At 39.3% G+C, this 26,022-nt stretch overlaps 1 protein-coding gene across 25 annotated transcripts in view, besides 2 other annotated features; it reads right to left on the bottom strand.

Moving 5' to 3' along the window:
• KDM6A (lysine demethylase 6A) overlaps positions 1 to 26,022 on the bottom strand; it is a 239,592-nt gene that overhangs the window by 113,311 nt on the left and 100,259 nt on the right. For all 25 annotated transcript variants that reach the window (NR_111960.2, XR_007068200.1, NM_001419809.1 and 22 more), the window contains one exon: positions 24,754 to 24,803. Coding sequence is in view for 19 of the 25 variants with exons in the window: in NM_001419809.1 (NP_001406738.1) it covers positions 24,754 to 24,803 (50 nt within the window). In the remaining 6 variants the exon portion in view is untranslated. The remainder of the gene's footprint in view (positions 1 to 24,753; positions 24,804 to 26,022) is intronic.
• Positions 3,075 to 3,124: a silencer, noted in NCBI's record as "silent region_20788". NCBI's record gives its function as "represses an Ori minimal core promoter by ATAC-STARR-seq in GM12878 lymphoblastoid cells {active_cell/tissue: GM12878}" and the evidence as "EXISTENCE:reporter gene assay evidence [ECO:0000049][PMID:35858748]".
• Positions 23,018 to 24,217: an enhancer, noted in NCBI's record as "MED14-independent group 3 enhancer chrX:44834497-44835696 (GRCh37/hg19 assembly coordinates)". NCBI's record gives its function as "activates an origin of replication core promoter dependent on BRD2, BRD4, P300/CBP and CDK7 cofactors, and independent of MED14, by STARR-seq in HCT116 cells {active_cell/tissue: HCT116}" and the evidence as "EXISTENCE:reporter gene assay evidence [ECO:0000049][PMID:35650434]".

Genomic DNA, 26,022 nt, shown 5'->3' with positions numbered 1-26,022 from the left:
GCTCTGTCATAACCATTTTTCCCGCCAAACCACTCACCCCATCACTCTCTTTAGCCAATCAGAATTAATTTAGCCTGTGCGGTCTAACCCTCGCCAATAGGGGAACTACACAGCAGCAGCGGCGGCCACGTGTGTCAAGGGTAAGAACCCCTTCCCCTCCCTTGTCCAAGTGTGCGCTCACCATTGCTCTATCTGTAAGGGCGCACCCTTCTATAGAAGTACTTTGCTTTGCTGAGAATTAAAAAGAAAATTTTATATTCAAGTGCTATTTCTTTTGCGGCACCGAAACTTTACATATAACAATGGCCGGCTAATTTTTGTATTTTTAGTAGAGATGGGGTTTCACCATGTTGGCCAGACTGGCTTCATGTGATCCACCCGCCTCGGCCTCCCAAAGTACTGGAATTAGAGGCATGAGCCACAACTCCCAGCTAAAATGTTTTACAGAGTTTGACTCTTTTTGTTGACAAAAACGTATATAATAAGGTTCAGTTCTACCTGAAGTTTCAGGCATCCACTGCGGGTCTTGGAACATATCCCTCATGGGTAAGGGGAACAACAGTAATTAGGTTCTAAATAATAAGATTCTATGTTGTTATAACGTTGCCAATTTGGGGTTGGAATAAGAATTTGACTGTAGCCACCACCAAGCACCCCATACCCCAGTAATCATCTTTGAAGACTATTATATTTTTATGCTAGGATATTAACAAATAAAACCATGCCAAAATATTACAAAAACATCAAATGTCTTAATTTTACTGTATCATGACTCTAATTCACAAACCTAGTGATACACAGTTGGGGAAAAAAATCTGCTATTAACCCTCTGAGTACCTTTGTCTACCAGATCTGGGAAAGAAAAACACAATATGATAAAATAAAATAAAACAAAACAAAACCTACTGGGGAATAAAAAAAGGGGGAAGGTGGGTATAGAAATGAAGGTTATAAAGGTATGAATTTCCAAATACTTTCTTTATAATTACCCCCATCTGTTACATATACCATGAATATCTGAAATTACATGAATCTTAACACTGAACAAGAAAGTCTAATGGTACTGCAGATTTTAGATAGTGGTAACAATCTTACCAGTTGACCAAGCCAAACAGTAGTCCTACTTTTCCTCTCTCACCTCTTCTCCACCAATAAACCATGTTCCTTCTATTCACAGAGTTCATTTTACAATCTAAAAGCCTTTGAATCCACCCCTTCTCCATTCCTACTATGTTTCTCCAGGTTAGTTAGGACCTCAACTTTACATACTTGGCCTATTTCAACAGTTTTCTAACTTGTCTCCCAAACTGTAGGCTCTCTCTCCATTTCCTCCTCTTTCAATCTGCCCTCCAAACCACTGCCAGTGAGCTTTCGAAAACTCAAACATGAAGTGCAAAACATGCACTTTCTATTTTAAACTCCTCTGAAAAGTCCCCACAATCTAGCTTGATTTATAAGGGCCTTCATTTTATGACTCTTGCTGAAATGTTCCCAATCTCATAACCACCACTTCAGTCAGGACAAATAACATGCAGATCTGTGAATAAAATACAACCTTATACATTTCTATGATTTTAACCATGTTTGCTTCCTCTGCCTTAAAAAAGCCATTGCCATCTTTCCCTCAACTCACTCCTTAATCGGGCAAATTCCTGTCTATCCTTTAAAAAGCAACATTCACCTCTTCCTTCCAGAAGTATTATTTGACATATTCCCAAAAACCCAGAGTGAGTTATAGTTTCTAATACATGCTTCTGATACGGGACTGCTGGGAAGGGAAGAGTGTGGTCCCTTTAAATGATACAGAATGGGAGAAGGGAAGTGCTGGGTAGAGGAGGGTGTGGTCCCTGGCTAGGGCTCTACCCCCTCAGACCTAAGTGAAGACAGGCACTTCTGCCTACCTGCCACGCCCCCAACCTGGGCCTATAAAAACCCAAGACCCTAGCAAGGCAGAGACAGAAACTGCTAGATGGCGAGAGGAACACATCGGTGGAAGAAGACAAGTGGCTGGACATCGAGAGGATGTTGAGGGGAGCATGCAGGCGGAAGAGCACACCCACAAACGCTGGCACACCGGCAGGCCACTGACCAGTGGGACTAGGCAGAGTTTGGCCAGCGCAGTCGGAGGAGAGCTGGGGCTGCCAAGCAGCCATCTCCCTCTGGCTACCCCATAGGCTGAAAGCTACTTTCCACTCAATAAAACTTTACACTAATTCTCCAAGCCCACATGTGATCCGATTCTTCCAGTACACCAAGGCAAGAACCCGGGATACAGGAAACCCTCTGTCCTTGCGACAAGGTATAGGGTCTAACTGAGCTGGTGAACACAAGCCGCCTACAGACAGCAAACTAAAAGAGCACCCTCTAACACATGCCCACTGGGGATTCAGCTGTAACATTCACCCCTAGACAGACATTGCCGTGGGGTGGGAGCCCCACAGCCTGCCAGTCTGTATGCTCCCCTAGAGGTTTGAGCAGTGGGGCACTGAAGAAGCGAGCCACACCCCCATCACATGCCCTGCGAGGGGGGCAAGGGAATCTCTCCCATTTCACTTCCAAATGAATACTCACATCTTTTGTAAGTATGTCATTTATCTCCTCCACTAGAATATGACCCTATAAATGGTAGAAAACGAACCCAAGTCATGCTTTGATCCCTATAGCAAAGTAACCAGCATATGTAAGTTAATTAGGAAAGTCTTGCCGCTGAGTAAATCAGTATCTTACAGTCTTTAATAACCTGTTACATATTTTTCATAGAAGAATGATACTTTGCTGATTCAATTTATACAGAATCATTTCCTTATTATAGTCTGAATTACCTTCTGGACAATTAAAAGAACATTTACAGTTAAGATAATCTAGCAGAAGAGGTTGGCAAAACTTTATTATATGCATCATGCCCAAATCACAACACTGAAGCAGAAGTTCTGCTTCCAAAGTGTATGTGTAGTATTGTACAGCAATAATGCAATCAGACTGTAGAAGTCATCTCATAACTAGTAAGTGACAAGGCTGTGATTCTGACCCAAGACTGTAGAGACCTGAGTCAGAATCAAAGCCTTGTCACTTACTAGTTATGAGAATCATGAAAGGCCAAGCACAGTGGCTCACACCTGTAATCCCACCGCTTTGGGAGGCCAATGTGAGAGGATTGTTTGAGACCAGGAGTTCGAGACCAGCCTGGGCAACATAGTGAGACTCTCATTCTCTACAAAAAACTTAAAACTTAGTTGAGCATGGTGGGGCAGGCCTGTAGTCCTAGCTACTTGAGAGGCTAAAAAGGACTGTTTGAGTCCAGGAGTTCAAGGCTGCAGTGCGCTACAATTGTACCACTGGATTCCTGCCTGGGCTACAGAGGAAGACCCTATCTCTTAAATTAAAACAAATAAACAAATATAAATAAATAAATAAATAATTTCAGAAAGACTCATGAAACAAGTTAGCTGATCTCAATGTCTTCATCTTTGTAAAATGGAGAAAGCAGTACCTATTTCAAAGGGTTGTCTGAGGAATTAAATGAGATGATACATGTAAAATACTTAAAAATACTACCTGGCATTTAGAATTTTTGTGACAACGGGGCAATGCATCTAATAACATCAACAACTTCCTTCCCCGTGCTGCTGAACCACAAACTGGTTCAAAAACAGAAATGATTATAATTAAAGCACAAAGGATTTTTTAAAAGTATCCCAACAGGCCAGGCCTGGTGGCTCACACCTGTAATCCCAACACTTTGGGAGACTGAGGCAGGTGGATCACCTGAGGTCAGGAGTTCAAGACCACCCTGGCAACATGGGGAAACTCAGTCGCTATTAAAAAATAAATACAAAATTAGCCTGGTGTGGTAGCCTTAGTCCCAGCTACTCGGGAGGCTGAGACAGGAGACTTGCTTGAACAGGGGAGGCAGAGGCTGCAGTGAGCCAAGATCGCACCACTGCACTCCAGCCTGGGGGAGACAGAGCAAGACTCCGTCTCAAATAAATAAATAAAAATAAATAAATAGTATCCCAACAATTTCATTTATATTTCCTTAAATTATAGTATAATTTCCAAAAATAAGGCCAATGGCAAGCAGTATACATACTGAAAAACCTTCCTAATACAAAATTATTTAAAATATTAGATGACATATTTTAAAAGGATCTTTATAAATGAATGGCTGAGCTGGCCGCAAAAGGAAAAAGGCTGAAAAAAAAGGAGAATACAGAAAGGTAAGCCAACACTGAAAGCCAATAAAATGCCCTGAGACTTAGGAAACAAATTAGGTACCACACAGAGTTGTACCCAAGATTTCCCACATAAATCTGAACCCCTGGGGATTCTTTCTTAGTAAAATGTTGGAATTTCCTCGAAAAACTAACAATAGAACCACCATTTGATCCAGCAGTCCCACTACTAGCTATAAATCATAGAAATTGAAATCAAAATTTCAAAGAGATATCTATGTTATATATGAGTTCTAAATTTCTTTCCAAGGAATCAGTATGTTCATTTCTTTGCCTTCTACTTTTAAACTTCACTTCCTCGTAAAGCAACGTTTTTCGACTACCTGCTCCACCCTGACTCATTCCAATTACCTGCCCTGTCATAACCATTTTTCCTGCCAAACCACTCACCCCGTCACTCTCTTTAAATTAGCCAATCAGAATTAGTTTAGCCTGTGCAGTCTAACCCTAGCCAATAGGGGAACGACACAGCAGCAGGGGCCAGGTGTGTCAGGGAAAGAACCCTTTCCCCTCCCTTGCCCAAGTGTGCGCTCACCATTGCTCCATCTGTAAGGGTGCACCCTTCTATAGAAGTACCTTGCCTTGTTGAGAATTAAAAAGGAAACTTTATATTCGAGTGCTATTTCTTTTGCGGCACTAAAACTTTATTTATAACATCTATACTCCCATATTCATTTCAGCCTTATTCACAATAGACAAGATACAGAATCAACCAAAGTATCCATTGAAGGATAAATGGATTAAGAAAACGTGGTATATATACACCTTGAAATACTATTCAGCCTTTAAAAGAAGGAAATTCTGTCATTTGTGACAACATGGATGAATCTGGAGGACCTTGTGTTAAGCAAAATAAGCCAGAGACAGAAAGACAAAACGGCATGATCTCACTTACATGTGGAATCTAAAAAAGTCAAACTCAAAGAATATCTATCTCATAGGAGTAAAGAGAACAGCAGTGGTTACCAGAGGCTCAGGGAGGGTGGGGAAAGGGAATTGGGGAGATGCTATTCAAAGGGTACGAAGTTTCACTTAGACAAGAATAAATTCTAGTGATCAATTGCAGAGCATGGTAACTATAGTTAATAATCATGTATATTTCAAATTGATGAGAGTATATTTCAAATATTCACCAAGAAAAACAAGTAAGTGAGGTTATGGGTATGTGGGAAAATCTATCATATCTCTAAAACCAAATGTAGATGGAGTCAAAAAATAAAATGGAACACAGGCAATATTTGAAGATGTAGTGGCTGAAAATTTTCTAGTGCTGAAGGCAATACTCCCCAGATGCAGAAAGATGAATAAAGGAAGACAAATCCTATGCACAAAGGGAAGGTGCAGAAGAAAAAGACGAGAGCTTTTTTTTCTTGAGACGGAGTCTCACTCTGTCTCCAGGCTGGAGTGCGGTGGCGTGATCTCAGCTCACTGAAACCTCTGCCTCCTGGGTTCAAGTTATTCTCCTGCCTCAGTCTCCTAAGTAGCTGAGACTACAGGCACGCGCCACCATGCCCAGCTAATTTTTGAATTTTTAGTAGAGACGGGGTTTCACCATGTTGGCCAGGATGGTCTCGATCTCTTGACCTCGTGATCCGCGAGGAGAGCTTTTAAAAGACATTAAAAGAGCTATAAAACAGCTTCAAAACAGCATCAAAAGAGCTAAAACAACACTAACAACTTTTTAAAACTATCCAGGAAAACTAGGAGTCAGTGAAAATTCAGTAAGAAGCTGGGTGCAGTGGCTCACACCTGTAATCCCAGCACTTTGGCAGGCAGAAGTGGGCAGACCACTTGAGCCCAGGAGTTTGAGACCAGCCTGGGCAATATAGTAAGACCTCATCTCAAATAAAAAAAAAGCAATTAAAATTATTTTCAGTTATTTTTAATGGTAAAGATAAATTTTTATCACATTCTTTTTTTCACACATAAAGGAAAATTTAAGTGAAAAAATTTCATTAAGATATCCTTAGTGTCCAATTCTGAATAATTTTTTAATCCTGTTAACCATACTCTCGTCCATGTTTTTCCACACAATATCAACTACTGGGACATCAAAAAAGGTGGTGATATAGCATTTCTTAGAAGATTCTTCCACTGTTGTCTACAAACCCCATTTCTGCAAGTTTTGACATCACTTTTTTGACCTTACCAGAAGCTGACAATGAAAAGTTTTTAGTCAGCAATCAAAACTCATATTCTTTCCTCAGATGCTCCATAAGTGACTTATCTACTGAAACAATAGGCTACAGCTATCTAATCATGACAGGAGGAAAAACAACAAAGATGAGTATGCATAGGCATTGACAACTATATATCATGACTACCACCCAGCCAATGAAGACTTAAAATATTATTAGATACCTTGCTCCAAAGATTTAAACAAAAAGGGTAGGCCGGGCATGGTGGCTCATGACTGTAATCCCAGCACTTTGGAAGGCCGAGGTGGGTGGATCACATGGTCAGGAGATTGAGACCATTCTGGCCAACATGGTGAAACCCCATCTCTACAAAAAAAAAAATGAGCCGGGCATGGTAGCATGCGCCTGTAGTCCCAGCTACTCAGGAGGTTGAAGCAGGAGAATCGCTTGAACCCAGGAGGTGGAGGTTACAGTGAGCCAAGATCAAGCCACTGCACTCCAGCCTGGGAAACAGAGTGAGATTCCATCTCAAAAAAAAAAAAGTGCATCTTTGAAGGAATAAAAAGCAGTATTGCTGGCCAGGCACGTTGGCTCACGCCTATAACCTCAGCACTTTGGGGGCCAAGGTGGGCAGATCACGTGAGGCTGGGAGTTCGGGACCAGCCTGACCAACATGGAGAAACCCCATCTCTACTAAAAATACAAAATTAGCCAGAAGTGGTGGCGCATGCCTGTAATCCCAGCTACTCGGGAGGCTGAGGCAGGAGAATTGCTTGAACCCGGGAGGCAGAGGTTGCAGTGAGCCGAGATCGCACCATTGCACTCCAGCCTGGGCAACAAGAGCAAAACTCCGTCTCAAAAAAAAAAAAAAAAAAAAAAAAAAAAAAAAAAAGAAGAAGACAGTATTGCTAAATTTCGTTAGGTGGTAAAGATCTGACAGTTATTTAAGGAATCATTCTTATTTTGTAGAAAGGTATTTAGAATATTAAGGATTGAAATGTCATGTTATCTGTAATTTACTCTAAAGTATACCCAGGAAGGAATATACATATATATGGAGGGAAAATATTTTTTTATAAGCCCTGATGGGGCATTAAAAACCACTAACCAGGCCAGGTGCAGTGGCTCACGCCTGTAATCCCAACACTCTGAGAGGCTGAGGCGGGCGGATCACCTGAGGTCAGGAGTTCAAGACCAGCCTGGCCATGGTGAAACCCCGTCTCTACTAAAAATACAAAAAAAAAATTAGTCAGGCGTAGTGGTGCACAGCTGTAATCCCAGCTACTCAGGAGGCTGAGGCAGGAGAATCGCTTGAACCCAGGAGGCAGAGATTGCAGTAAACTGAGATTGTGCCACTGCACTCCAGCCTGAGCAACAAGAGTGAAACTCTGTCTCAAAACAACAACAACAACAACAACAAAAACACCCACTAAGCAAACAGTTGTTGGTTAACTATCAACTTAATTAAAAGAAATACAGAAGATAGTGAAATGAGCTAAACAATACCAAAAGAAAGCAATAAAACAAAGTCAGAAAATGGCACACTATAAGACAACTGTGCTGGTCTCTTTAAGCCAGAGACCAAAACAAAAACACAAAAGGGATGAGAGTGGAGGGAAGACAATGCTTAAAAAGACACCTAAGGGACATACTCAGTTCTAACCTATGGTCCTGAACTAGATAGTGGTCTGGACAAAAAGACTGTAGGAGGCATTATGGAGTAAATTAGGTGAGAAAAAGAGAGAAAGAGAAAGAGAGAAAGAGAGAGAGAGAGAGAAGAGAAAAAGAAAAAAAGAGAATAAGTCCAAAGAAAGAAGGAAATAAACTAGAGATGATCAACAATGTCAAAACTGTATTATTTGAAATCAGTATTAAAATTTACAAACCTTTGATTGAAGCAAGGAAGAAAACAGAAGGCACAACTAAGAATCAGAAATTAATTAAGGACCTAACTATAGGTATATGTGACCATAAACAAATGTAGCAGAGATTTACAACCTAAAAAAGTAACTGGTAACTAATAAAACCAGTAGTATAAAATCTTCCCAAAAAGACATATTACCAATCCCAGAGAGTTTAACAGGTTGGTTTTATCAAACATGCAAGAAACCACTTTTACAAGATTATATCTTGGTCCACAAAACCTAAAATATTTACTATTTCAGAAAATACAAGATGAGAACATTCCAAACACTTTTAATGAAATGTTTACAATACTGATAACAGAAGAAACAAAATTGTCACTAATTACAAAGGTAGGATAGTCTACAGAGAAAATCCAAAGTTACATAGTCAAATAACCCAAATTAGTGAAAGTTAGTGAAGTTGCTTGATAAATTTAACACATAAAAGTCAACTGCAGTTCTATATACCAGCAGAGATAAAAAATAAAATTAAAATGGCATGTATAATAGCAATAGAAGTGTAAGATGTAAAATACATTATTTATAAGAAGCACGAGAACTTTGTGAGGAAGTTACAAAACTTTACTGACAAAAGATGACAGCTTTTATTTATTTATTTATTTATTTATTTATTTATTTATGTTTTGAGACACAGTTTCGCTCGTTGCCCAAGCTGGAGTGCAACGGCGCAATCTCGGCCCACTGCATCCTCCACCTCCAGGGTTCAAGCGATTCTCCTGCCTCAGCCTCCCTCAGCCTCCTGAGTAGCTGGGATTACAAGCGCGTGCCACCACATTGGGCTAATTTTTTGTATTGTTAGTAGAAACGGGGTTTCACCACGTTAACCAGGCTGGTCTTGAACTCCTGACTTCAGGTGATCCGCCCACCTTGGCATCCCAAAGTGCTGGGATTACAGGCATGAGACACTGTGCCCAGCGACAGTTTGTTTTTAAAATACAAAGTCAATGCAATCCCAATCCAACCCCTAAAAAATAACTGTGTTTTATTTAACTTTATCTGATCTCCAGCACTATCGTATTTCACAAGATATGGACAAATCTAAGATTGCAAAACAGTGCTAACTGTTGCAAACGCATTTATGATCTGGCCTTTGCCTTCCTTTTCCCCAGTTTGAGTCCTATAACGCCCAACAATCATGACAGGCTCTAAGACAGTGGTCTATAAACTATTGCCAGCCAAATCCTTTTTTTAAGGCCTGGGAGCTAAAAATGATTTTTATATAAAAGATTATCTAAGCACCTATATATTACCTGATCTTGCCTCTTGGTACACAAAACCTAAAATATTTACTATTTTGCCCTGTAAGAAAAAGTCTGTGGACCTCTGCTCTAGACCGAGAACGTGGGAGTTTCCAAAACACCTACTGTACTGCTATGCACTGCTCTCTCACTTCTCTTCTTGGAAAACTTGACCAGGTCTTGTATCTTGAAAACTCCCACTAATCCTTCCCTGAAGTTTCACCTTTTCTGTAAAGTCTTTCCTAATCCCCACTGAGACTTTCCCAAACCCCTCAAACAAAGCATGTGCACTTCTGCCTCCGGCACAGCCCTCAACACTTCCAATGTATTACTTACCAAAAACTAATTATGTTTACGTGTTTCCTCCTCATAGAAATATGGGAGAGCGGGTGGAGCCAAGATGGCTGAATAGGAACAGCTCCAGTCTGCAGCTCCCAGTGTGAGCGACACAGAAGACAGGTGATTTCTGCATTTCCAACTGAGGTACTGGGTTCATCTCACTGGGGAGTGTCAGAAAGTGGGTGCAGGACAGTGGGTGCAGCCCACTGAGCGTGAGCCGAAGCAGGGCGAGGCATCACCTCACCCGGGAAGTGCAAGGAGTCAGGGAATTCCCTTTCCTAGTCAAAGAAAGGGGTGACAGACGGCACCCGGAAAATCAGGTCACTCCCACCCTAATACTGCGCTTTTCCAACAGTCTTAGCAAACGGCATACCAGATTATATCCCGTGTCTGGCTCGGAGGGTCCTAAGCCCAGGGACCCTCACTTGATGCTAGCACAGCAGTCTGAGATCAAACTGCAAGGCAGCAGTGAGGCTGGGGAGGGGCGCCCCCATTGCCGAGGCTTGAGTAGGTAAACAAAGCCACCTGGAAGCTCAAACTGAGTGGAACCCACCACAGGTCAAGGAGGCCTGCCTGCCTCTGTAGACTCCACCTCTGGGGGCAGGGCATAGCCAAACAAAAGGCAGCAGAATCCTCTGCAGACTTAGATGTCCCTGTCTGACAGCTTTGAAGACAGCAGTGGTTCTCCCAGTGCAGTTGGAGATCTGAGAACGGACAGACTGCCTCCTCAAGTGGGTCCCTGACCCCCGAGTAGCCTAACTGGGAGGCACCACCCAGTAGGGGCAGACTGACACCTCACATGACCGGGTACTCCTGTGAGACAAAACTTCCAGAGGAACGATCAGGCAGCAACATTTGCTGTTCACCAATATCCGCTGTTCTGCAGCCACCACTGCTGATACCCAGGCAAACAGGGTCTGGAGTGGACCTCCAGCAAACTCCAACAGACCTGCAGCTGAGGGTCCTGACTGTTAGAAGGAAAACTAACAAACAGAAAGGACATCCACATCAAAACCCCATCTGTACGTCACCATCATCAAAAACAAAGGTAGATAAAACCACAAAGATGGGGAAAAAACAGAGCAGAAAAACCGGAAACTCTAAAAATCAGAGCGCCTCACCTCCTCCAAAGGAACGCAGCTCCTCACCAGCAACGGAACAAAGCTGGATGGAGAATGACTTCAACGAGTTGAGAGAAGAAGGCTTCAGATGATCAAACTACTCTGAGCTAAAGGAGGAAGTTCGAACCCCTGGCAAAGAAGTTAAAAACCTTCAAAAAAAAAATCAGATGAATGGCTAACTAGAATAACCAATGCAGAGCAGTCCTTAAAGGACCTGATGGAGCTGAAAACCAAGGCACGAGAACTATGTGACGAATGCACAAGCCTCAGTAGCCGATTTGATCAACTGGAAGAAAGGGTATCAACGATGGAAGATCAAACGAATGAAATGAAGTGAGAAGAGAAGTTTAGAGAAAAAAGAATAAAAAGAAACGAACAAAGCCTGCAAGAAATACGGGACTACGTGAAAAGACCAAATCTACGTCTGATTGGTGTACCTGAAAGTGACGGGGAGAATGGAACCAAGTTGGAAAACATTCTGCAGGATATTATCCAGGAGAATTTCCACAATCTAGCAAGGCAGGCCAACATTCAAATTCAGGAAATACAGAGAACACCACAAAGATACTCCTCGAGAAGAGCAACTCCAAGACACATAATGGTCAGATTCACCAAAGTTGAAATGAAGGAAAAAATGTTAAGGGCAGCCAGAGAGAAAGGTCGGGTTACCCACAAAGGGAAGCCCATCAGACTAACAGCTGATCTCTCAGCAGAAACTATACAAGCCAGAAGAGAGTGGAGGCCAATATTCAACATTCTTAAAGAAAAGAATTTTCAACCCAGAATTTCATATCCAGCCAAACTAAGCTTCATAAGTGAAGGAGAAATAAAATACTTTACAGACAAGCAAATGCTAAGAGATTTTATCACCACCAGGCCTGCCCTAAAAGAGCTCCTGAAGGAAGCACTGAACATGGAAAGGAACAACCAGTACCAGCCACTGCAAAAACATGACAAATTGTAAAGACCATCAAGGCTAGGAAGAAACTGCATCAACTAATGAGCAAAATAACCAGCTAACATCATAATGACAGGATCAGATTCACACATAATAATATTAACCTTAATTGGAAATGGGCTAAATGCTCCAATTAAAAGACACAGACTGGCAAACTGGATAAAGAGTCAAGACCCATCAGTGTGCTGTATTCAGGAAACCCATCTCATGTGCAGAGACACACATAGGCTCAAAATAAAGGAATAGAGGAAGATCTACCAAGCAAATGGAAAACAAAAAAAGGCAGGGGTTGCAATCCTAGTCTCTGATAAAACAGACTTTAAACCAACAAAGATCAAAAGAGACAAGGCCATTACATAATGGTAAAGCGATCAATTCAACAAGAAGAGCTAACTATCCTAAATATATATGCACCCAATACAGGAGCACCCAGATTCATAAAGCAAGTCCTTAGAGACCTACAAAGAGACTTAGACTCCCACACAATGATAATGGGAGACTTTAACACCCCACTGTCAATATTAGCCAGATCAACAAGACAGAAAGCTAACAAGGATATCCAGGAATTGAACTCAGCTCTGCACCAAGCAGACCTAATAGACATCTACAGGACTCTCCACCCCAAATCAACAGAATATACATTCTTCTCAGCACCACACCCCACTTCTTCCAAAACTGACCACATACTTGGAAGTAAAGCAATCCTCAGCAAATGTAAAAGAACAGAAATTATAACAAACTCTCTCTCAGACCACAGTGCAATCAAACTAGAACTCAGGATTAAGAAACTCAATCAAAACTGCTCAACTACATGGAAACTGAACAACCTGCTCCTGAATGACTACTGGGTACATAATGAAATGAAGGCAGAAATAAAGATGTTCTTTGAAACCAACAAGAACAAAGACACAACATACCAGAATCTCTGGGACACATTCAAAGCAGTGTGTAGAGGGAAATTTATAGCACTAAATGCCCACAAGAGAAAGCAGGAAAGATCTAAACTTGACACCCTAACATCACAATTAAAAGAACTAGAGAAGCAAGAGCAAACACATTCAAAAGCTAGCAGAAGGCAAGAAATAACTAAGATCAGAGCAGAACTGAAGGAAATAGAGACACCAAAAACCCTTCAAAAAAATCAATGAATCCAGGAGCTGGTTTTTTGAAAAAATCAACAAAATTGATAGACCTCTAGCAAGACTAATAAAGAAGAAAAGAGAGAAGAATCAAATAGACGCAATAAAAAATGATAAAGGGAATATCACCACCGATCCCACAGAAATACAAACTACCATCAGAGAATACTATAAACACCTCTACACAAATAAACTAGAAAATCTAGAAGAAATGGATAAATTCCTTGACACATACACCCTCCCAAGACTAAACCAGGAAGAAGTTGAATCTCTGAATAGACCAATAACAGGATCTGAAATTGAGGCAATAATTAATAGCTTACCAACCAAAAAAAGTCCAGGACCAGATGGATTCACAGCCGAATTCTACCAGAGGTACAAGGACGAGCTGGTACCATTCCTTCTGAAACTATTCCAATCAAGAGAAAAAGAGGGAATCCTCCCTAACTCGTTTTATGAGGCCAGCATCATCCTGATACCAAAGCCTGGCAGAGATACAACCAAAAAAGAGACTTTTAGACCAATATCCCTGATGAACATCGATGCAAAAATCCTCAATAAAATACGGACAAACCGAATCCAGCAGCACATCAAAAAGCTTATCCACCATGATCAAGTGGGCTTCATCCCTGGGATGCAAGGCTGGTTCAACATACGCAAATGAGTAAACGTAACCCAGCATATAACAGAACCAACGACAAAAACCATATGATTATCTCAATAGATGCAGAAAAGGCCTTTGACAAAATTCAACAACACTTCATGCTAAAAACTCTCAATAAATTAGGTATTGATGGGATGTATCTCAAAATAATAAGAGCAATCTATGACAAACCCACAGCCAATATCATACTGAATGGGCAAAAACTGGAAACACTCCCTTTGAATACTGGCACAAGACAGGGATGCCCTCTCTCATCACTCCTATTCAACATAGTGTTGGAAGTTCTGGCCATGGCAATCAGGCAGGAGAAGGAAATAAAGGGTATTCAAACTAGGAAAAGAGGAAGTAAAATTGTCCCTGTTTGCAGATGACATGATTGTATATCTAGAAAACCCCATCGTTTCAGCCCAAAATCTCCTTAAGCTGATAGGCAACTTCAGCAAAGTCTCAGGATACAAAATCCATGTGCAAAAATCATAAGCATTCTTATACACCAATAACAGACAGAGAGTCAAATCATGAGTGAACTCCCATTCACAATTGCTTCAAAGAGAATAAAATACCTAGGAATCCACCTTACAAGGGACGTGAAGGACCTCTTCAAGGAGAACTACAAACCACTGCTCAATGAAATAAAAGAGGATACAAACAAATGGAAGAACATTCCATGCTCATGGGTAGGAAGAATCAATATCGTGAAAATGGCCATACTGCCCAAGGTAATTTATAGATTCAATGCCATCCCCATCAAGCTACCAATGACTTTCTTCACAGAATTGGAAAAAACTACTTTAAACTTCATATGGAACCAAAAAAGAGCCCGCGTTGCCAAGTCAATCCTAAGCCAAAAGAACAAAGCTGGAGGCATCACACTATCTGGCTTCAAACTATACTACAAGGCTACAGTAACCAAAACAGCATGGTACTGGTACCAAAACAGAGATACAGACCAATGGAAAAGAACAGAGCCCTCAGAAATAATGCTGCATATCTACAACTATCTGATCTTTGACAAACCTGAGAAAAACAAGCAACGGGGAAAGGATTCCCTATTTAATAAATGGTGCTGGGAAAACTGGCTAGCCATATGTAGAAAGCTGAAACTGGATCCCTTCCTTACACCTTATACAAAAATTAATTCAAGATGGATTAAAGATCTAAATGTTAGACCTAAAACCATAAAAACCCTAGAAGAAAACCTAGGCAATACCATTCAGGACACAGGCCTGGGCAAGGACTTCATGTCTAAAACACCAAAAGCAATGGCAACAAAAGCCAAAATTGACAAATGGGATCTAATTAAACTAAAGAGCTTCTGCACAGCAAAAGAAACTACCATCAGAGTGAACAGGCAACCCACAAAATGGGAGAAAATTTTTACAATCTACTCATCTGACAAAGGGCTAATATCCAGAATCTACGATGAACTCAAACAAATTTACAAGAGAAAAACAAACAACCCCATCAACAAGTGGGTGAAGGATATGAACAGACCCTTCTCAAAAGAAGACATTTATGCAGCCAAAAGACACATGAAAAAATGCTCATCATCACTGGCCATCAGAGAAATGCAAATCAAAACCACAATGAGATACCATCTCACACCAGTTAGAATGGCAATCATTAAAAAGTCAGGAAACAACAGGTGCTGGAGAGGATGTAGAGAAATAGGAACACTTTTACACTGTTAGTGGGACTGTAAACTAGTTCAACCATTGTGGAAGTCAGTGTGGCGATTCCTCAGGGATCTAGAACTAGAAATACCATTTGACCCAGCCATCCCATTACTGGGTATATACCCAAAGGATTATAAATCATGCTGCTATAAAGACACATGCACATGTATGTTTATTGCGGCACTATTCACAATAGCAAAGACTTGGAACCAACCCAAATGTCCAACAATGATAGACTGGATTAAGAAAATGTGGCACATACACACCATGGAATACTATGCAGCCATAAAAAATGAGTTCATGTCCTTTGTAGGAACATGGATGATGCTGGAAACCATCATTCTCAGCAAACTATCTTAAGGACAAAAAACCAAACACCACATGTTCTCACTCATAGGTGGGAATTGAACAATGAGAATACATGGACACAGGAAGGGGAACATCACACACCGGGGCCTGTCGTGGGGTGGGGGGAGGGGGAAGGGATAGCATTAGGAGATATACCTAATGTTAAATGACGAGTTAATGGGTGCAGCACACCAACATGGCACATGTATACATATGTAACTAACCTGCACGTTGTGCACATGTACCCTAAAACTTAAAGTATAATAAATAAATAAATAAATAAGGGAGAGCAGGAACTATCTTATTCATTTCTGCATTGTCAAAAGAGACCCTGTCAACAAATGTGAAAGCCAGACTAGCCTAAACTGTATAACTGAAAAAGCCACCGGAAAGTCAGAAAATGAGCACAGATTCCACTAGTTTATCCACTACCTATTTGTGCTGACTTGGGGGGCTTCCTTAATCACCGGGATGCACCATGTCTAGTCCATAAAGTAAAGGAATTAGATAATAATTTCTAAGATGTGTTCTGCTTCTAAACTTGTAAAATTTCCAAAGAATCTAATCCTTATTCCAAAATATACTGCTTTTTAACTTTTCTTTAAAAGAGCTCACTCTCTTGGTCTCTTCTAAGCAAAAAAGTTAGGCTTTTAAAAAAAATTCAGGTTAAGCAATAAACTTGTTGAAATATTAATTATAGTTCTGTCTTCCTTACAGGTTCTAAATATTTTCATATTATGAAGCATTTCCAGACTGATACATTTAAATACTGAATATATTTCTGAATTCAAAAAACAAATCTGAATTAGAAGAACCTTGAGTTCTCCTGTTACAAAAATTCTCTCTTCAACATTTCTCTCCTACCTGACATTAACCCATAATCCCACACCAGTACAATACTGATGAAAAAATAAGACCATACAGAAGAAAACCTTACCAATCAGGCCCAATTAGGAAAATACGGCCAGCACAAATTCAGGGCTGGTAAGAAGTACAGTATAATTTTCAAGCATATGCTGAATCAGGCAGTAAAACAGTATTATTTAGAACTTTTTAGTGAAACTGTTTTAAGGATAAGAATTATCTATAATTAGCATACCCAAAAAATGTGAATTAATCTCTTCAACAAACTGAATCTTAGGTGCAAAAGTAACTGCAGTAATGGCAAAAACCATAATCACTTTTGCGCCAACCTAATACTATGTGATATTCTTCAGCAGTAATATTATAAAGCTGATATTTACATTCATATAGATAGTATGTATGTTAAATTTAATAATCAATTTTTTTCGGTGTCCCAAACTAAATTTTAGCACAACTCTATCAAACCCTTTATAAAATTAGGGTTATAAAAAAATAATGAATTGATCACTATTTTAAGAAACTGTACCCACAAATACTTTAATCAATCAATGTACAAAAAAATACATATCCTGCATATCTTGTAACAGACCAACTAGTTTTTCAAACTGAAACACTGTTCTCCATCCTTCCATGTTACCATAACGTTTAATCAATGGTTCTATTCAGATAGGCATTGCTTCCAGAATTCAAAACCTTTTCTTTCTTTTCTTAAAGTGGAAAAAAAAAATAAGAAAAAGGTCGGTTTTGTTTACTTTAGACTCTGTTGCCCAGGCTGGAGTGCAGTGGCATGATCTCGGCTCACTGCAACCTCTGCCTCCCGGGTTCAAGCGATTCTCTGCCTCAGCCTCCCCAGTAGCTGGGATTACAAGGAAGCACTACCACACCCAGCTAATTTTTGTATTTTTAGCGGAGATGAGGTTTCACCATGTTGGCCAGGCTGGTCTCAAACTCCTGACCTCAGGTGATGTGCCCACCTCGGCCTCCCAAAGTGCTGGGATTATTACTGGGTGAGCTACTGCGCCCAGCCCTGAGTGTCTCTTTTATGCTAACGAGATAACTCAGGGCAGGCAGCCACCTATGTAGCTTCAGGTTGGGGGCTGTAATGAGATAACTCAGGGCAGGCAGCCCCCTATGTAGCTTCAGGATGGGGGCTGGTCACAGCAAAGAGCAAAGCATGATTAGAACGTTGGGACTTTTCAGCCCCATTCTCCAACCTCTGGGTAGAGGAAAGGGACTGAAGGTTAAGCTGATCACCAGTGGCCAATCATTTAATCAGTCATGCCTACATAATAATGCCTCCATAAAAACCCAAAAGGACAGGGTTTGGAGAGCTTCTGGATAGCTGCACAAGCGGAAGTCCCTAGAGGGTGACATGCCCAGAGAGGGCATGGAGGCTCCATGCCACTTCCCACATGACCTCATCCTATGCATCTCTTCATCTGTACCCATTATAATAAAACAGTAAACCCTAACTGTTTGCTGAGGTCTGTGCCACTCTGGCAGATTAATGGAACCAAGGAGAGGGTCATGGGAACCCCGATTTATATAGCCAGTCATTCAAAAGTTCCGGAGGCCTGCAATGGCATCTGAAGTGGGGGTAGTCTTGTGGGACTTAGCTCTCACTCTGTGGGATCTGAAACTATCTCCAGGTAGATAATGTCAGAATTGAACTGAATTAGAGGACACCAGCAGCCACTGCAGAACTGATTGCTTGCCAGGTATGCAGGGGGAAAACCCACACACATTTTGTTACAGAAATGTTCTGTGTTGTGAGAGTATAGGAGGAACTGAGTTTTTTCCTATATCCTCACACTATTCATTATAAAAACATGAAGTAGGGGGAAGAGGGAAGAGCCCTCGAAGTAAACTAGCAACAGAAGGGAACATCTTCAATATTAGTCTACAAAAACCCTACAGGTAGTATCACATTCAACAGTAAAAATGTAATGTTTTCCCCAGAGAAACAAAACAAGGATGTCCCCTTCCATTCAACATTGTATGGGAGGTCCTAGCCAGTTGAACAAGGCAAGAAAAAAACTAACGGGCATCCACAAATAAGAAAACAAAAAATAAAATTTTCTTTATTTGCAGACCGCATAATGTATGTAGAAAATCCTATCTAGAGTAACATGACTAGAACAATATAATTTAGTAAGACAGTAGGATACTAGATCAGCATGCAATAATAAATGTTCCTATATAATAGCAATAAAACAATTGGAAATAAAATTTTACAACCACTCCAATCACAATAGCATAAAAAAAAACAAACGTAAAACATATGTGATAAGAACTATGAAGTATTGCTGTAGAGTCTTAAAGAAGGCTAAATACAGGGTGAAATACGCCATGTTCACGAACAAGCAAATGCAATATTACCGATGACAAATTCTTCCTAACTTAGCACATGTAGTTCCAATATAATCCTAGCAGAATTATACTGAATTATACCGTTTCTGCACTTTATATGCAAAGGCAAAAGACCTAGAAAAACCAAAGCAATTTTGAAAAAGAATACAGGGAACTTGGGGCCAGATGCGGGCGGTGGCTCATGCCTATAATCCCAGCACTTTGGGAGGCCGAGGCAGGCGGATCACGAGGCCAGGAGATCGAGACCATCCTGGCCAACATGGTGAAACCTGTCTCTACTAAAATACAAAATATTAGCCAGGCGTGGTGGCGTGGGCCTATAGTTCCAGCTACTGGGGAGGCTGAGGCAGGAGAATCACTTGAACCCGGGAGGCGAAGGTTGCAGTGAGCCAAGATCGTGCCACTGCACTCCAGCCTAGGCGACAGAGAGAGACTCCATCTCAAAAAAAAAAAAAAAAGGAAAGAAAGAAAGAAAAAAATAATACAGGGAACTTACATTGCTTGATTTCAAGAACATAGTAAACAAAACTATGATATTGGCTTAAAAACAGACACACAGATCACTGGAACGTAACAGAGAATCTAGAAACAGAAAACTAAATTGTACGTTGATATTTTTCAAAGAAGAAATGCTAGATTTTCAAAGTGTAGTCTTTTCAACAAATAATGCTGGAAAAACTAGGTAGCTATTGGGGTAGGGGGTGGGGGGACCACTGATGCTATCTCACATCATAAACAACTTGAAATGTATCACAGGCCAAAACAGAATTTAAAAGGTGAGGAAATATTTTATGATCTTGGGATACACAAAGATTTCCTAGCACAAAAAGCACAAACTGTAAAAGAAAAAAAAAGTAATTAAATGGACCTCATTGAAACAATAAACATTTGCTCTTCAAAAGACACTAGTAAGAAAATGAAAAGATGAACCAGAGACTAATAATTCCAAAACAAGTATCTGACAAAGGGCATTTATCCAGAGTATATAAAGAACCCATAAAACTCAATGAAGAAGAGGAAGAAGATAAGGAAGAACAACAGGAAGGAAAGGAAGAAGAGAAGGAAAGAAAAGAAAGAAGAAGGGAAGAGGGAGGGAGGGAGAGGAGGAAGGGAAGGAGAATAGGTAGACGGGCTAAAGTTAAAAAGACTGAGGAGGAAAGAAAGAAAGAAAACAAGAAAGAAGAAAAAACAAGAATGGGCAGATGGGCTAAAGTTAAAAAGACTGACAATACCAAGTGCTAACGAAGATATGGAACATCTGAAATCTCATTCACTGCTGGTTGGAATATAAAATGGTATAACCACCTTGAAAAAGTCTGACGGTTAAACCTAAAACTGCAAAGCAATTCAGCATTCCCAAATCATAGGTATATATACCAAGACAAATGAAAATCCATGTCCACACAAAGACAAATAATATTCACAGCACTTTATTCATAACCAAAAGCTGAAAACAACCCAAATACTTATCAACTGAGAAAAACTGTGGCATATCCATTCTATGAAATCCTACTTAACAATGAAAAAGAACATACTACTGATACACACAACATGGATGAATCTCAGTAAAAGCATGCCAAATGAAAGCTATCAAAAACAAAAGAATATATGCTGTTTAAACCCCATTACATGATATTCCAGAACAGACAAAACTAAAGGGATGAAAGCAGAGAAGTGGTTGCCTGGGACCAGAGATCAAGAGTAGGAAAATGGCACAAGGGAACACTTTGGGTGATGGAAAATGTTCTATATCTTCATTATGGTAATGGTTATACAACTATTTAAGTTGTCAAATCTCAAATAATGTAAATCATATCTCAAAAAATGCTTAAAATAATGCTAAATATATCTCAAAAAAGCTACAGAAAATAAATTATCAGGTATTTTTTGTGAAGCTAGACAAGTTAATTAGAAAGTTTATTTGGAAAAACAAGCCACCAACGACAGCCAGGAAAATCCTAGAAGCAAGAACAGTGGGGAAAGGGTGCCCTAGCACTACCATACATTAAAACATATTATAAAATCTCTGTTAGTAAAATACTTTTGTATTAGTTCATGAACAAAGCATGCCACAAAATGCACAGACAAAACTGCATATGAATATTTAGTATACAATTAAGGCAACATCTCAAATCAGCAGAGGAAAAAATGAATTTTTAAAAAATATATCTTTGGGATAACCAGTCATAAGAAAAAAGATAATCTTAAATATTGTTCACACTGTAAGTCAAGAATAAAACCCAAACGGATCAGAAATTTAAATGTAAAATATTAAACCATTCAAGTACTGAAAGAAAATGTGGGTGAATTTCTCTAACACCTGGGAATGAGGAAAAAACCCATCCTATGATTCAAAATACAAGGGCAATGTAGAAGACTGATCAATCTGACTACACAGAAATAGAAAACTTCTGCACAGGCAAACACAAACACACAAAAACAAAGCAAAACAACAAATCTCAAACTGGGCAACAGTAGCTTCAACTAATGTCACAGATAAAGGATAAATATGCCTAATACATGTTATATAGCTACATAAAACAGTAAAACAATGACCTAATAAAAAAAATGGGCAAGAGACATGAACAAATATTTCAAAGAAAAAGAAATTCAAATAGTCTTTACACTTCAATTTTTAAAAAGTTCAATCTCACTAACAACTAAGAAAATGTAAATTTAAATTATAATAAAATACCATTTCTCACCTATCAAACTGGCAAGTCTGCTGACAAAAAGGTTCTTGATTAAGACCAAGAAGAAACAAGCACTTGCATACATTGTTGAAATAAATGCAAATGGTTCAATCCCAAAGGAGCAAATACCCTTCAACACAATGATCCCACTTTTAAAGGAATCTATACTAAAGAATCACTAACAAAAGTATTAAAAGACAGGCCAAGTGCGGTGGCTCACACCTGTAATCCCAGCACTTTGGGAGGCCGAGGTGGGAGAATTACTTGAGGCCAGTGATTGAGTTTGAGACCAGCCTGAGTAATATAGTGAGATTCTATTTCTGCAAAAAAAAAACTTAAAAATTAGCCGAGCATGGTGGTGTGCATCTGCAGTCCCAGCTCCTCGAGAGGCTGAGGCAGGAGGATTCACTTGAGCCCAGGAATTCAAGGCTGCAGTGAGCTCTGATTGCACCACTGCACTCCACCCTGTGCAAGAGAGCAAGACCTTGTCTCTAAAAAACTATATATATAGAGAGAGAGACACTTTTACTAGACTATTTACTGCAGCACTCTGTAAAAGCAAAGCACTGAAGCACCTGATTAAATAAACTATGGAGTAAGTCTTCATGACCTTGAGTTAGGCAAAGATTTCTTAGGTACAACAACAAAAACACAAGCAATAAAAAGTTGTGTTACAAAGCTGATAAACTGGACTTTATCAAAGTTTAAAACTTTATTTTCTACCCCACTAGGCACACTAAAAAACTAGTACACTCAAAAATTAGATAATTAAAAGTGCTGAGTAGGATACAGAGAAACTGGAACCCTCACACATTACTGGCAGGGATGTAAAATGGTACAGACATAGGGAAAAAAAGTTTTGGCAGTTTCCCAAAATGCTAAACACAGATTTACCCTATAATCCAACAATTCCATTTCTCAGTACCTACCCAAGAAAACTGAAAATATTATGTCACACAAAAACCTGTACACAAATGTTCACAGCAGTATTATTCACAATAGCCAAAAAATGAAACAACCCAAATGCCCATCAACTGATGAAAGGATAAACAAACTGTGGTATATTGATCCAATGGAATACAGTGAGCCCTTTGTATCCATGGGTTCCGCATCTGCAGATCAAAAATATTCAGGAAAAAAATAACAATAATAAAAAATAATACAAACTAAAAAGCAATACAGTATAGCAATCAATTACATGGCATTCACATTTTATTAGGTATTATAAGTAATCTAGAAATGATTTAAAGTATATGGGAGGATGTGTAGAGGTGATATACAAATACTTTATCATTTAATATAAAGAACTTGAGTATCCATGGATTTTGGTATCCATGAGGGGTCCTGAAACCAATGCCCCACGGATACTGAGGGGTGACTATATTATCAGGAAATAAAGAATAAAATATTCATGCTATAACATATATGAACCTTGAAAACATATGCTAAGTTAAAGAAGCCAGCCACAAAAGACCATATATTATATGATTCCATTTATATGAAATATCCAGAAAAGACAAATATATAAAGGCAGAAAGTAGACTGGTGGTTGCCAGGGCTGGGGATATATGTGAGGTTTCATTCCAGGGAGATAAATAAGACTGTGATGATGGCTGTGATGCAGGATTTTTTGCCCCTTAGCTCAGCTAATCTGGATTTTTGTCTCACAACTAGGAAGAATTAGGCATGCAGCCACATTGAAGGGTGAGGAAGACAAAATTTATTAAGCAAAAGGAAAGCTATCAGCAAAGAAAGGGGGTCCTGCCAGCAGGTTTCCACCTCACAAACTGAATACCAGGGCCCCAGCACACAGTTGAAGAGGCCAGGATCCTCCCCTGTATAAGGCTCAAATTATTGGTGGCTCCACCCCATTCCCCCAGTGCATGTGTACCTCCAGTCCACTGCAGGCATGCCCAGGCAAGCCCCCTGTGCAGGTTCCCTTATCTGCACAAAACATCTGGTGTAAACACCTGTGGGCTGGGTGGATCAGTGATTCTCCAGGGACCCTTCCCTATCTGTCTAGACCTTTGTCTGCCTCCTGCCTCTATCAGCTGCACAGCTCTGAAAATTTACTAAAAATCACTGATTTGTATAGTTAAAACAGCTGAATTTTATAGCATGTGAATTACAGCATGTGAATAAAGCTATAATTTTATAGCATGTGAATTAAGCTATAATTTTATAGCATGTGATAAAGCTTTTAAAAAAAAGCCAGAGATTAGAGAAGATATTTTCAAAAGACTTAAAAAAGAAAAAATATATATACATATATGTCTAAAACCTCTACACGGTGTTCTCAAAATCTCTGCATAGGCTGACTGTTGAAGGGCTTTTCCAGACAAAGCCAGTCTATATAAGACTGGAATAAGTACCTACTTCAAAAAGAAAGACAAATTAACCAATAGAAAAATAAAATCCACAAAAAATCTGAAACAGCAATTCAGATTTAAAAAAAAAAACTCACTGCTCAATAAACTTAAAAGTAAACATGATGTAAAAGATCATGCTTAATCACTGCTTAAATTAAGATAAGAAAGTGGATGATTAATTGTTTCACTGCTATGCACAGTCTTTCATTTAGGTAGGTCTTCTAAAAAATAGGTTCAGCTCTCCTCAAAGCTCCAATTATAAACAGAGTACACCAAGAAAGAGTTTATCATAACTTTCCCATTACACCTTCCCATTTTAGCCTGATATACACGTCTTCAGCCTTCTTTTACTCCCAGGTACCAACTTTAGAAAAGAAAACCAAGGAATCATTTTGTTATTGTTATTTGTTTAGTTTTGCTTGATTTTTACTTATCACACTTCTATTACATTTGACCAGTAAAATGTGTCAGAGGACTCTAATTCTTAATAAAATACAAGGAGAGTCATACAAGACAGCACAAACATAAATACTCTCAACCCTTTTCCAATACCTTTCCCCTAGAAGCAATATTTTAAGTAATTAACAAAAAAAAGCAAGAGCTCAATTAATTTTGAGTATAATTGGCAATAATCTGCCCAAAACACAAACATGAAATCAGCATGCAAATGTACACTAACCTTCCAGTAGTCAGACTGTAAACTGTAGTACCTCTGGTATGCAGATAATGCTGAAAGGAAAATAATTATGAGTCATAATTATGTCTCACTTTAAAGTCAATAATACACTTAACAAACACGGTAACAAGATTCCCACCACACCCACCTCCCAGTAGATAGTGATATTTCAGACCAAACAACTTAAAATTCTGGGCCCCCCTCAGTTCAGAAACGTAAAACCATGGTCAAATCTCAGATCTGCACTTGAACAGCATCTAGGCTAACCCCTTAGATCAACTCGACCTTCCTCAAAGATCAAAACTCGTGGAGGATTAAGAGAGTTAGATATAAAAAGAAGCCCATAAGACTACTAGATGAAAACATGGGGGCATAATATTTTTCTGATCAGCTAGAAAAGGATTTTTTTAATTTGTGGTTTACAATTCACAAGCTAAGATATGGAAGACCAGGATAAAAACTATTTGAGAAGCAATTGGCTCCCTCAACTCTCTCACTCAACACTTGATGTTGTTCAGGCAATCTGACCAAAAAATGCAGAGATTCTCCAACAAAAGGCCATGGATATCATATTCAGAGATCCGCAATCCCATGTTCAGAGCCTCCAGTTCTCAATTATTCCAATTATGAAATATGGACAGCTAAGAATTATCAGACATCTAAAGAAAGCCTCTAACCAAGAAGAAACTAACACAAAAGAAAAAAAGACAACCTAAAAGAAAAAATAATGACTACTATGCAGGGGAAAATATACTTCAAAAAATTCTTACTAGTCTTAGGTAAGGGAAAATATTGTTTTCATTGAGGGGGATGAAAAGGGGGTGTGTGCAGGAGAACAAACAGGATGCTCTAAAAAAAATTAAATTCGGTAGATTAAAGTACGATAGCAGAAATAAATAATTCAATAAAAAGATTAAAATTAAATTTGAAGAAATCTCTCAAAAAATAAACAAAAAGGACAAAAACAGAAAATTAGAAAAACTGTGCCCCGGAGGTCTAACATATCAATAATAGAGCCCCAAAAAGAAAGAATAAAAGGAAAAAAGAAAATTCAGGAAATAATTCCAAAAATATTCCCAGAAAAGAAGGCTATGACTTGGTAGTTTGAAGGGTCCTACAACAGATATGTAATTCTAGAAATAAGGCAACAGAACAATGTTTTCAAAATTCTGAAGGAAAATTATTTCCAACCTAAAATTATATATCCAGTCAAGCGATCTATTAGGAGGCTAGAATAAAGGTATTTTCTGATACGCAAAGTCTCCAAAGAAA

The sequence above is a fragment of the Homo sapiens genome, chromosome X, assembly GCF_000001405.40.
Source record: "Homo sapiens chromosome X, GRCh38.p14 Primary Assembly".
Lineage (NCBI taxonomy): Eukaryota > Metazoa > Chordata > Mammalia > Primates > Hominidae > Homo > Homo sapiens.
Note: the sequence above shows the minus strand (reverse complement) of the source record. Positions and strands in the feature narration are given on the sequence as shown.